This window comes from Homo sapiens, chromosome 3 (genome assembly GCF_000001405.40).
Source record: "Homo sapiens chromosome 3, GRCh38.p14 Primary Assembly".
NCBI classification, from domain to species: domain Eukaryota; kingdom Metazoa; phylum Chordata; class Mammalia; order Primates; family Hominidae; genus Homo; species Homo sapiens.
This window is the reverse complement of record NC_000003.12, coordinates 124,158,777-124,172,443: the sequence shown is the minus strand read 5'-3', so window position 1 is coordinate 124,172,443 and position 13,667 is coordinate 124,158,777. Positions and strand designations below refer to the sequence as shown.

The following is a 13,667-nucleotide window of genomic DNA, read 5'->3' as shown; positions in this document are numbered from 1 at the left end:
TCCATCCAGTACTTTGGCAGAATTTCTTGTTATCTGGAGCAGACTTTCTGGCTGGTTTTCTTAAACTCTCTCCCTCTTCCTCCTTGTACATTTATCCTACTGGGATAAGCCCTGCTCACAACAATCATGACAGAGTAAGACAGGAAGACCTTAGGAACTCACGGCCTATTTGGCCAGCAAGCCAAGGTAAGGCGAAGGGGAATGGGGTAGGGGTGAGATGGGCTGATTCAGGAGTCTGAATGAGAGGCCTTGAGCTCATGCTACTCTTGGAATTGATTTTAGTTATTATCACCCATTGTTGAATGAATGACTCCTCAACTCAATCATGCAAAATGAATACACTTATTTTATGGATAAGGAAAATAAGATTCAAAGAAGTCAAGTAACCTACCCAAAGCCATGTAGCCAGTCAGAACTAAGACTGAACTGGCTGAATCCAGGTCTGTCCACCTCCCAAACCCCTGCATTTCCATTCCTCCAAGATGCCTTTCTCACCAAATATCCAATAACCTATGGAAGTAGTTCAAGATCTGCGGAGAGAGAGCTTAAGATACCCATCAAAGCCTTTCCCAGGACCCCAGGAGGATGATTTTATTCAGGGACTCTGAAGGCAACTGCTTGCAGTTATTAAACCACCTGCTGAGAATCCAAATTCTAATTTGATCTCCACAGGCAGGAATTCCTCAGGGAACATGTAGTTCAAACTTAAGGGAGGATCAGAAAAACAGAAGTCCTTCTGTGGTAGGTTGTTTATAAGATAGCCAAATCAAGTCCTTCTATCCTTATGTGCCCACTCCTTTACAATGTGACTGCCTTTTTTCCCACCAAGAGGTAGGGTCTATTTTGCTACCCCCTCAGTCTGAACTAGCCCATGACTTGCTTTGACCAATCCAGTAGAGCAGAAGAGATGCTGTGTGACTTCTAGGCCTCAACTTCAAGAGGTGTTGCAGCTTCCGCTCTCGTTCTCTTTCAACACTTCTGCCATCACGTAAAGAAACTCAGTCTGGTCTTCTAGTGGATAAGATATCACAAAAAGATGAACAGAGAGAGTTATTCAGCTGACAACCAGCACCAATTGCCAGACTTGTCAGTAAAGCCATCTTAGACCATCCAGCCCCAGTCAAGCTGCCAAATGACTGCAGCTACATGAGTGACTCCAGGTAAGACCAGCAGAAAAACTGCCCAGCTGATGCCAACCCAAGTAGCTAAGCCAGTAAGCAAATAGTTGTTTCAATCCACTAAACCTTGGAGCCTAATTTCCCAAATCCTTACATAGCATTACTCCATCACTTCTGAGAACAGGGGTAGCATAAAGAATGTAGAAATGGGCCAGGTGAGGTTGCTCATGCCTGTAATCCCAACACTTTGTGAGGTCAAGGCAGGCAGATCACTTGAGGCCAGGAGTTCAAGACCAGCCTGGCTAACATAATGAAACCCTGTCTCTACTAAAAAAATACAAGAAATTAGCTGGGCATGGTGGCACACACTTATAATCCCAGCTACTTGGGAGGCTGAGGCATGAGAATCTTTTGAACGACACTCCAGCCTGGGTGACAAAGCGAGACCATGTCTCAAAAAAAAAAAAAAAAAAAAAAAAAAAAAAAAAAAAAAAGAATGTGGAAGTGGAAGGAGTTTATAAAGTATGTCTTAGGCAAGCAGCTCATGTTGTTTGTGCCCTGAGACTCTGCAGGCTTCAAAAAACCCCAAGTCTGGAGCCAGACAGCACTAAGAAGTCTTGATTGCATAAAGAAGAATCAAGCCCAAGGGCCCATAAATGTGAGAGAGGTTTAGAGCTTGCTTTTATTGATCTACAACTTCTCTGTGTGTACTCAAGAGGAAAACGTCTTCTCTCATATATCAACCTGTTGGTCACAGCCAACAACTCTCTGTTGCCTTTTAAAAGAATTCCAAACTCCTTAACCTGACATTTAGGGGCTCTAAATGATCTAAATTCAGGTCTGGGGTTCTAATCCCAATACTGCCACTTATTCACCAGCCATGTGACGCTGGATAAGACACTTCACATCTCTGAGCCTCAGTTTCTTAATAAGTAAAACTGGGATTTTGCATGCATAGATCATGCAGTTGTTATGAAAACTAAGATGACATAAAGTGACCAGTACTATACCTGGCACACAGTGGATGTTGTAAAGTTCCTTCCCAATGGTTCAACACCCTTCATCACACTCAGAGAAGAGAGATTCCTTCAGAGAAAAGTTTGTGAGATGCCAGGAAGGCGCTAAAGGTTCCTTGGGGTAAAGCCACATCTTGAAGCCTTGATGTGGTTGTAAGGAATCAGAGTGATGGACTGGGTCCCCGTCTTATTTGTTTTTCTTTTTTTACCACACGTCCCAAGTACATCTATAGCTAACTAAAGCTTTACCACGGTATTTTCTGAGGAAAGAACTCTGAAATGCTCTTGGTTGAGTTTCAACCAAGCCAGCCCTCTTCTCCACCTTAGATTCTCATATCCAACAATGGGCATCTGCCTCTTGTATTCAGAACACTGATCCTACACTCGGACTGATCTTACTTCCTTCTCTAGTTTCCTTCGTGGAAAAATACCCTGTTACCCTAATTTCCATAGTTCTACTCCAGCAAGTCACTACTCCCACGTTCAGGACAACTGAGAGTCCCAGAGAGAACTGTCCCCTCTCTCTTCCCCTGACTACTCCCCTATTGCCCACTGTTGATAATAACTCCTTCCCTGTGTCTCTCTCACAAACACATACAGTCACATTCTATAGTGAAACAGGAAATTGAACTAATAGAACTACATCTCCATCAGAGACCAATCAATGCCATTGATTGGCACAACATTTCACTGGACATGAGGCGCCAGGGAGACAGGGGATCCTCCTTCCCTCCCCCTAAACTACACACACTGCCCCTCTGTCAATCCCCGGGATTCCACTGCACCAGTAGTTGCAAATTACCCACAAGTATCAAGCCCTATGCAGCTAGAGCCCACAGCTGAAGAGAAGCCAAAGCTACCAAAACATCAACCACTGGCTCAGGATTAAAGAGAGATAGGCAGTTCCATTCCTGTGAGCCCTTACCCTGTAGGGAGATCCTCCCTGACCCAGTAAGCCAAATCCACCCCATCCCTACCCTATTATCAAACCACAGAGAGCCAACAAGCTTAGTAAAATGCAGTGGTTTCCATTCTTTAAGCATGGACTCTCCATAGTCACTCCACCATTCCCCTCCAAATCACAGCACTGACCCCTCAGAAAGGGAAAGGAAATCATTTATGTGCCTCAATGTGCAAAGCCTTCCACCACTATGTGTTCATCATTCATTCCTAGAACATCCCTGAAGGTAAGGCATTATTATTTCCAGTTTACATGAGTGAACAGAGGCTCACAGAGCCCCAGATAACACAGTCAATAAACAGGATTTAGATCAAGGTCCTGTGACTCAAATCCCATGTCTTTCCACTCAAGAGTCAACACTTAGAGTTGTGCTCTCTTAGTATATACTCTAAATATACTTGCCTGTGTTTGGGTGTTTGTCTAATCATGTGCCTTTGTCACTGGTTCCTATAGCTCCCAGAATAGTGCCATGTGCTTGGAGGTAGTGTTGACAATGAAGACACATGGAGATGCCTTCCAAATCACTCCCAGTGTCCTCTTCCTTGAGAGGCCGATTGAGATCTAATCCAAACCTGAGGCATGTGGCTGTAGTTACCACATTTGGTGCCTTTTCTACAATATTTAACATAATTTAACAGGAGTTAAAACTATGATGCAAAGACATGAGAGGAAGCAGACGGAAAGTTGACCAAGAGATAAGCAGAGAGGGTAGAGTCACCTCTTCTATGAGCTTCATTTGGGAAAGAAAGTGGTATCACTGAGCCTCTCCCCAGGGAGATTCCCCTAGTTTAACTTGGCTGAGCCACTGATCCAGGCCCTCCCAATGACTCTCACCAGCATTCTGGGGACTCCCTTAAAGCCAAGGTAAACATGACTCAAACCAGCAGAAGCCAATATTGCTTGCTCTATGAGAACTTTCTCATAGTTTATCTAACCCAGGTTGCCAGAGCTTGGACAAAGTAGACAATCAGTTGCCAATGGCAACCAAACCCCATCACTTCCAACTTCATTTTGATTGGCTTAGAGGGATGGAAGTCAAGGAGGGTCCAGGAGCAAGTGGCCTTTATATCTAATGCATTCACTTAACAATCATCTTGCTTTATACGCATAACTCTTCAACTTTTTAAACGGCTTTTCAGTATCATTTCATCTTCTCTTATTCTCACTGTAATTCTTGAGGTGAATGATGATCTCCTCAGGCAGACAGGAACTCCCTGCAGTTGTTTTGTACCTCTCCACCAACCTCAGTACTTTTGGAAACCAAAAACCTTTTCAGCAAAGAAAGAGCAGGAATATGATCTTCCCAACACAAAGTCACAGAATCACTCAGCCTTAGAGATGGGTGGGTCCTTAGCAGCTCCCTAACTATACAACTCTCATCTGAGGGCAGGGGTGCACTCCAAACCAGTGCTGTGCAGTAGAACTTCCTGTGATGATGGAAATGCACATATCTGCTCTGTCCAATTGAGAACTGTACTGGAAAGAGAAGATGTGTGCATTTTGATCACTTGAAATGTAGCTAATATGACTGAGAAATTGAATTTTTAATTTTATTTTAACTAATTTTAATGTTAACAGCTACATGTGACTATTGGCTACTCTATGGGAGAACACACTCTATGGCATCCCAACCAGACTTTGCTGCAATGGTAATTTACTACCTCAATTTGATAGTGTCCACAAAGAGAGTCATGCAATTTTATACAGAGAATACCTGTTATCTGTGCTGAAAGAATTACGTGATAAAAACACCTTTTGCCTACAGTTTGAATGTTGATCACTTCAATAACAAAATGCTTACAAACTCTTACAGACTGAGCAGATTAGAAACAGAGAAGCCACTAAAAACCATCTAGCTCAACCCCTTTATTTCACAGATGGGAAAACAGGTTTGCTGTATCTTTCTCCTCGGGTCATACCTTACAGATCCTGTGTTCTCTAGGGAGTCCAGTGCTCTTCCATACAAGTAAACATTGCTCCCAGTGTTTCTGACAACTTTCTGAATTATTCTCTACCTCTAGGTATCCCAGGGTAAGAGCGAAGCTAGGGAGAAGGAATTAGAACTGTCACCACCATGACTAGCAACCAGAGTCTCCTGCTTAACAGGAGCCAATTTCATAGGAGCCACAGGTCAGCAGTAAAGTGCAGGGATCTAAGGGAGCCCTGGGCCCAGTCGCTCAGGCAGAGCCCTGCAAGGACACAGGGTTTACTCTTGGTCCACCCCCACTCCATCTTTACCTGTCCAGTCACCTATTTGGAAAGTCCCCAAATTTATTATTATAATATCATTATTATTATTATTTTGAGATGGAGTCTTGCTCTGTTGCCCAGGCTGGAGTGCAGTGGTGTGATCGTGGCTCACTGCAACCTCTGCCTCCCAGATTCAAATGATTCTCCTGTCTCAGTCTCACAAGTAGCTGGGATTACAGGCACATACCACCAGGACTGGCTAATTTTGTATTTTTTCTTTTAAGTAGAGACGGGGTTTTACCATGTTGGCTAGGCTGGTCTCAAACTCCTGGCCTCCAGTGACCCACCTGCCTCAGCCTCCCAAAGTGCTGGGATTACAGGTATGAGCCACCACGCCGGGCCCTCCAAATTTAGATGTTCAAAAAAACATCTGTTTCCTCTCACATTGGCTCAGAGCAGCGGTGTCAGTTTAAATTTGGGGCTTCTAGGCAAAACTGATTTCCAGAGGAATCCCTTTCCCTTTGTTATATGCTGAACGGACTCCTGGAGAGAGGGAGTCCCCATAGGTGTGGGTCCTGGAAATAAAGATTTTTAAGTTAGGGAGAGACATAATATAATTTTCTTATAAAAAGAAAAAACATATTTACTTTCTCTGCTTTTTAAAGCTGGAAATTAAGAAAATGTGAAAAAAATAATTTTTATGAGTATTATTTGAGCTATCTGGTGGTCCTGCTTCTGAAGGAGAAACATCTATGAAACATCACTCATGAAGCACTTAATGAACACCATCTTTCCAGTCACTACACTAGGCACTGCACTATCTCATAGGGGAGACAACCTTCATCTGTTCAATATTTGTTAAGCCCCCACTAAACAAAGTCGCTATCTTCATAAAACTTACATTCCAGTAATGGGAGGCTTACAAAAATCATGTGTACAAAACAACAATATTACTTGAGATAATACAAGTCCCACAAAGAACATAGAAGTAGTGGGATGGGGTGTGACGCTGGGATGGTAGAGTGGGGGACAGGCTACTCTAGCTAGGGTGGTTAAGAAAGGCCACTTTGAGGAGATGGCATTTGAGGGAGGGCCTGAATGCTGGGGAGCAGGCAGATGGGAGGATGAGCGGGGGAAGAAGACACCCCAGGCAGAGGAGCCACTTGTGCAAAGGCCCTGAGATGAGGACAAGCATGGTATGTTTGAGGGTCAGGAGGCTTGTAAGGCTGAAGTGAAGTGAACAAGCAGGAAGTGGTAGGAAGAGAGGTTTGAGAAAGAGGCCATGGTTCAGGGAGAGCACATGAGAAAGAGATCATGTGAGGCCTTACAGGCCGAGGTAGGTACAGTGCGAAAGCACTTGGAAGGGGTGGGCATTAAGCCCAAGAGACATGATCCAATGTATGAATATAAATATATACAATGGTGGATAAAATATTTACAATACAGGAAGAATGAGTGCAAGGCAGGCCATTACAAAGTACAGGAGCTATGCTAATAAAGAAATCTATACTGTAGGGAGGGGCTCGAGAAAGTCTAAGCCTCTTAGGGCATGGCATTCCAGGCTACAACAGAAGACGCAAAGAAGGAGCAGTGTGAAATGACATGTGTGAAACATGACGACATGTTGGAGGGGACCACATGTGGTTGCTATGGAGGTGGATAGGTACAAGCCATGCATGGGAACCATGCATACATCAGCCTTGGTAATTGAACGTAATTTGTTCTCAATCTTGTCTCTTAAAAATATTGGTACCCAGGCCCCACAACAGACAAATTAGATAAAAACATCTGAGGGTGGGAGGGCAGACACTGGCATATTGAAAAGCTTTCTAAGAGATGCTAATGCACAGCCAGGGCTAATAAGTGGTACTGTAGGCAATAATTTGAAGGGCCCTAAAAAATTTTAGACAAGCAGCAACATTTATTTCTCATAACAAATTTGTTTTTCTAAAGATTATATTTTATAATTCAGTAAAGTATAATATGTTCAAGCAGTGATGACAAATTAATTACTTGTGTTTTCATTTAAAACTCTGAACAATGTTACAAAAGGAATAACAAGTTTCCATTCCTCCTGACCTCTGGCTCCTCAGTTTACGAGAAACCTAGAAACTCTGAACAGAAGAAACCTTCAGCAATGAGAGCTGATAGATTTTATAGCCAGAAGGATACTGCAGAGAGCCCCCCTCATTTTACAAATATAAGGAGAGGCCCAGAGGGGTACTATGATCGGGACAAAGATGCCTGGGGTTAGCACCGAAGGTAGAGCTGGACTCCAAAGGTAGAGCTCTCTCCACAAAACCATGCTGCTTCTTGCATGTGACTTAAATAACAAAAGCCGTCCTAATGTCTAGACTTGGACATTTTCTACAATATTAATTAGATAGTGAAAGATCACTTAATTTTAGAAGAAATAAAATATAAATATAAAACAGGAAAGGGATAGGAAAAAAGAAGTCCAAACTAATCAAATACAGTTTTTAGCAAATATAACTTTATTTTTCAGGTTATCCCCTTAGTTAATAACCTCTATAGTTACTGCTCCTTCTGATGTTTTATTTTGATATTTCCATAGATTTCTGTAAACTGAGAGTTTATTCAATGTATGACAAGTTTTCTATAGGTGCATAATTCTTGTTCAAGGCATATATTTCAAAATGTAGACCCACATCTTTCTCCAGTTTCCAGAAAATAGAGAGTTTGAAGCAACAGACACAGAAGAGTGGGTTTGCTCCCATGCTGCAGAAGGCATTTGCAGGACAGAATTCCCAGCTCTATTCTAGAATCAAACATCTGAGGATTTTTTGAGTCTATATTTGGAAATGCCATTCCAACCCTGAAGGCTTGAAATGTGCTGCTTAAAGGTGTGCCAGGAAAATATGGCAGCAGCACCATCTGCATTTATACTGCCACCTTTTAGCCCTGGATCCAAGATTTATACAGCAACAATGGTCAACTATTCGGCTCTTCTCCATTTCTTCATGAAGTCTTTACTTTCCCCTGGCAGTGCACAGAGATTTTATATGCCGCCTAAATTAATCTGAAACAGAGGTAAAGGATGTCTCAGCCAAGGTCACTGTCCAATCTGGATGCAGTGATAGCTATAAAAACTGACTGTGTACAGTTAAGTGTGTGAGTTCTGCAGTAAATCCAAAACACAATGCTTCTTGCTACTCTGAATGACCACAGAAAAGGTTAGATTCAAGCTGGACTGTGAGCTATGAAAGCTACAACAGCCCTCAGCAGGGGACAGATGTTGCAACTGAGTCAACAGTGACTTGGCCAAGGCTTGGTCATGCAGAGGTGAAAGCAAATATCCAGGCATTAAACATCAGTCAGGTGGCCCAGGAGCAAGATGACATACAGGGAAGTTTGGAAGGAGAAGGAGAGAACTTGGAAGTTGGCTCAGAGCAAGCCTGTAGTGAGAACTATGAGCAAGGTCTATGGTAAAGAGCCACTCAGCTCAGTGTCCTGTTGTAATATTTATACATTTATTCTTCTACCTTTATAGCCTTTCTTCTTTCTTCTTTATGCAGATCCATGTTAGAACCTATTATGTGTTCAACCTATTATGTGTCCAGCAAAACATGTATTTTCATGTCACTGACAGATTTAGGCTAAAGAAATGCATGCCATAATGCAGCATTAGATGGGGACATTTTTTCTTCAAACTGCTTTCACATTACTTGCAACGTGATTTGTCAAAATAAATACCTTAGGACCTCGTCTCTGTAAGACTTCACATACTCTACATGTGGTGGTTCCCTTATATCTTCAAAACTTCTGGAAACACAAAAGCTGGCACAAGTGTCATTATCATGGAATCCATGGCTCCTTCCCTCTGTGCAACTGACCAGCCATCTGTTGGAAAGTCGTGCGCAGTTGCCTGCCTTTCATGGATGCTTCCATTGCCTGTTCAACATACTCACTCTCCAGGCTTGCCAAGAGTGTCTTCTGGACCCTGGGGCTGATGCTCACATGAAACCTTCTAGCCAATGTGCACTTTCAGGCACTCATACTAGGATACCAAGAGAATAGAGTGCTCTTTTAAAAAAAAAATCCTTCTCATATTTCAAACATCATCTTATCTATGAAGTAAGTGTTGTGAATATGGCTAAAGGGATTTCAGGTGTCTTGCCTTTGTTCCCTGTGTGGTCCTGGTGAGGATGCTGCAGTTTCAGAGACAGCAGTAGTAAACATTGGGAATTCAGAGTGCTAGAAGGAGGTACTGGTGTCATCTCCATCATGGGCCTCCTCTCACTCATGAAGAAGTACTTAATGTCAACAGACACTTCACTTCCTACACATGAAGATGCATTCAGTCATCCTTGTCTCCTTTAGATATGCATATATCGTTAGATGGCATTTAGAAGTCATGTTTACTCTTCTCACTTGGAATAACCTACAGTGAGGAAGGGGCTGCACTGTGCAAGGAGGAGCTTCCATTTTGCTAAGGAGGAAAAGGATAAGACTGTAGTTAGTGCTTCTCTAGGTTCTAGACAATCTTCTGCATTGTATATAAATCGGATAATGGCCCCTGTACAGGGCAAAGCACTATTCCAGCTCTGAGGGCCTCACCTCAGGACTAAGACCAGGTGTTTTGACTTTGCCTCAGAGCAGGGATTTGTGATTTAAATACATTATGGAAACATGCCACTGGAGCCAAAACAAACTATAATATTCCGAGTTCAGATAAATTTTAAACTCTTACCTTTCAGCGAGGAGACATTGCTTTTTTTCTTTGTGAATCTCAAGTTGAGGGGCCAAAAGAAGTTGAGTTCCAAGTTCCTTCCAACTCCCACACCTTCACACTGGCTCTCACTCCTGCCTCTCCTGACCACATTAAGGCAGTGAGCTCTTTCTTTTATAATATCCACAGGCTCCAGCAAGCATCTATTCCACCTAGACTTTCAATGCCTCATTAGGAAGACTGGGACCTGTCTTCTAACCTGTGGAGCAAAATTCAACAAGAAGCAGCCCACAATGAAGGCACTGAATTTTTCCTGCCCCCAACCCCCTCTTAGGAAACTGGCTGCCTGTCACACAAGTAGACATAACATTTGAGAGCTGTACCTGGCTCTGTATGTGACTCAAAATCATCTGGCACCATGGGCAGTTCTACATTGAACATTGTTCTCTGCTTCATTTTCTGGGATGATTTAGAGGAGGTACAATACAAGTCCCAGTATTTAAACCCCAAACTGTAAGTACTTTATTTTGTGATGAAGTAAAACAATTTCTCAATCCAAAAGGTATCTATCTTTCAACCCCTTTCTGAGTTACTTTCTGGGCCTTCAGCCTATGGGAGACTCCTCAGAAATGCAGAGACCCTCAAGCAGTAATCATACTTATGGCTCTGATCTTCAAAAACACCTTGGAGCTAGAGGAAGGAGACAATTGGGGGTGATCCTATAAGGCTTTGATGTGGATGCCCACAGGCCTGGAGAATGAATGATCTGGGAGATATGCAAATAGTTCTTGCTTCTTTCTGGGAGCAAAGTCTGGCCCACAGGACAGAGTCCATAATAACACGAGACATTTTTAGTAACATACAGGAGGCCACAGAAGATTCACATGTTTCTGTACTATAGATGCAAATCTGTTTTCACCTTGACCTACTGGGATAAGGAGTAAATTGAGAAACAAAGAAAAAGTAGTGCTAAGGCAGGAGAACAACCTTGAAGGCAGGGGTAGAGGGGGAGAAGCGATCTCAGATCATGTTATTAAGTTCAGCTTATAGTTCACTTCTGTTTCCATTATTGTGACATAATTTACTCCCTCCCAAAAGAATTTCTAGAGCCATCCAAAAGCATTAACAATAATATATTGTGTTGAGTCCTGGTAACCAGTCCTAATTCCTCGCAATGATTGCAAATACAAGCATTCACCACAAAATGTTAATAACTGCTCTGTAAATATCTGGAGTGGCAAATTTACTCACATATCAGCTTTGTCCTGTATGTACATTACTTTTTTGGGGGAGGGATGGAGGTATGACTTTTCTATCATGGTAAAATAGATAGCATATATTATTGACCATTTAATCCATGTTTAAGTGTACAGTTCAGTGGCATTCAGTCCATTCACATTTTCACATTGTTGTGCAACCATCACCACCAGCCATCTCTAGAACTTCATCATCTCAAACTGAAACCTTCATTACTTTTCACACAGTATGTGAGCCTCCCTCAAACCCCAAAGGATTAAGACTCCCCCTATCTTCCTTCTCAGTCCTTGGAGAACTACAGGATACAATATTATACAGCATTTTAAGGTTTACAAAATATTTTTCCTCAATGCTCACATAAACTTTGTAAGCCTTCTGTACATGGGAGAAGACCAAGAATCCAAGAAGGGGACAGACTTGCTCAGACAGGGCACTGACCATGCAGGGATCCAGAGAAGGCTCCCAGTGTGCATCCCATTATCCCTCACCACCTCCGACACCAAGGAGGAGAAAGAAGGTGTTGGAGTGGTACCTAAGGAAATCCTCCAAAGGCCAGGCTGTCTCTTACCCCACCCTCTGCCTGATGTGACTCCATCTGACAGATAGTCAGAGCTGCCTGATGGCCCAGAAAAAAAAAAGACCATTTTCTTACACATCATTCATTGCAAAAAACCAATTGGGTCATTTCACACTTCCTTTCCTTCTCTTCTCTTTTCACTCACATAAAAGCAAACCCACATCCCATCCACTTTTCACAAAAGCACCACAGTACACTCCCCATCACCCTTCTCTCTGCACAGACCTCTTTTATTCCTGATCATTCTAACCAGATTCCTTCTTCATAAAAACGTGAACATTCAAGAGATCCCATCTGATGTGATTTCTCCCTCCTGCACATTGCAGGGATGGCTTGGCCCATGGCTTCCCATCATCCTGAGGCTGCCCTGAGTGCTTGATGGGCCCCTCCATCCAGGCCGGCATGGAAGACATGGTCTGCTTTTCTGTGTATCCTCTGTTCCTCTTACAAGAACACCCGTCATTGGATTTAGGGTCCACCCTAATCTAGTATGACTTCATCTTAACTAATTATATCTGCAAAGACCCTATTTCCAAGTAAGGTCACATTCTAAGATTTCAGATAGATATGAACTTTCAAGGGACATTTATTCAACTCAGTACACCCACCTTCCTTCACCAAGGTATGTCAAATTCAATTTCTTATTTTCTTTGGGTTTCGTTTTCGTTTTTTCATCTAGCACCTGCTCCATCTCAATCCTGCTCATCATCACTGCTATGCTGGAAACCCTTCTGAGAATCCTGCTTCCATCTCCCCCCATACCCATCAGTACCTCTAGTCCTCACTTTACAACGGGTATATGAACACCGGATTAAGAAGGAAATGATGCTAAATTGTCCAGAGAGAGTTCATTATTTCAAGCATTCATCTCTCCCCATTTACCCAAGAAATAGCATGTGTTCATCTCACATTTTGCCCTGGACTGGAGGGTCTAACAGTTCCTACCCTCAGGTATTACGCATCAGAGAAATGGGCTACTGCACAGCTAGAGGAGCAGAGAAGGCAAAATGTAACCAGTTAACTTTAAAAGAGATAGAAAGTTTAAAAAAAAAAAAAAAAAGCCAGCCAGGTGCAGTGGCTCATGCCTGTAATCCCAGCACTTTGGGAGGCCAAGGCTAGTGGATCACTGGAGCTCATGAGTTCAAGACCAGCCTTGGCAACAGGGCAAAACCCCATCTCTACAAAAAATACAAAAAATGGGTCAGGCGTGGTGGCACATGCTTATAGTCCCAGCTACTTGGGGGGCTGAGGTAGGAGGGTCACTTGAGCCCAGAAGCTCAAAGCTGTGGTGATCTGAGATTGCACCACTGCACTCCAGCTTGAGTGACAAACTAAGACCCTGTCTCAAAAACAAACAAACAAAAACGAAAGAAAGAAAAGAAAAAGCCATGTGGGCCAAGGGTTAGGGAGGTGTGGCATAAGCCAAGTACTCAAGGAGGAACTGAATTTGAGCAGATGGAGGGAGGTGAGCTCAGAAGACATGGGGAAAAATCTGGGGAAAGGCATAGAGGTACAAATAAGCCTGGAATTTTTAGGGGACTATGAGAAGACCCCATCTGACTAGATGGTGGGTTTCACTGCAGAGGGCAGGCTTTATCAGTGATAAGGTTGTAAAGGCAATTGTTTGTAGATGTATACCTGATCCTATAGGGCCCTGAGTCCAGGCCAACAGGACCCGTTAAGGGGTTCTAAGCAACTGGGGAGTTTGACTAAGAGGTGTTCAGGGAAGCCAGATCTGGTTGGGTGTGCATCATGGACTAGGGGGAGTAGGGGGATGGCAAGGAAGACCTGGATGGAAGCCCAGTTAAGAAGACAGGCTCCAGAGCCAGAGCTTTATTTCTCCACTGTCAGTGGCCTT

The 13,667-nt window shown here is 43.1% G+C and overlaps 1 protein-coding gene and 1 long non-coding RNA gene across 34 annotated transcripts in view; both read right to left on the bottom strand.

Moving 5' to 3' along the window:
- The window catches only part of KALRN (kalirin RhoGEF kinase), a 692,957-nt gene that overhangs the window by 553,882 nt on the left and 125,408 nt on the right, over positions 1 to 13,667 (bottom strand). The window contains exons 2-3 of one of the 33 annotated variants that reach the window (NR_028136.3): positions 9,997 to 10,234; positions 7,758 to 9,735 (exon numbers count right to left, since the gene is read on the bottom strand). The exons of the other annotated variants lie outside the window; for them this stretch is intronic. The gene's annotated coding sequence lies outside the window, so the exon portion shown is untranslated. Of the gene's footprint in view, positions 1 to 7,757; positions 9,736 to 9,996; positions 10,235 to 13,667 lie in introns of those variants that run through there. 33 annotated transcript variants of the gene reach the window in all.
- LOC105374077 (uncharacterized) lies at positions 732 to 5,436 on the bottom strand. Its single transcript, XR_924424.4, has 2 exons — positions 3,930 to 5,436; positions 732 to 1,011 (listed from the first exon to the last, which is right to left on the bottom strand). It is a non-coding gene; the product is annotated as an uncharacterized LOC105374077 (long non-coding RNA).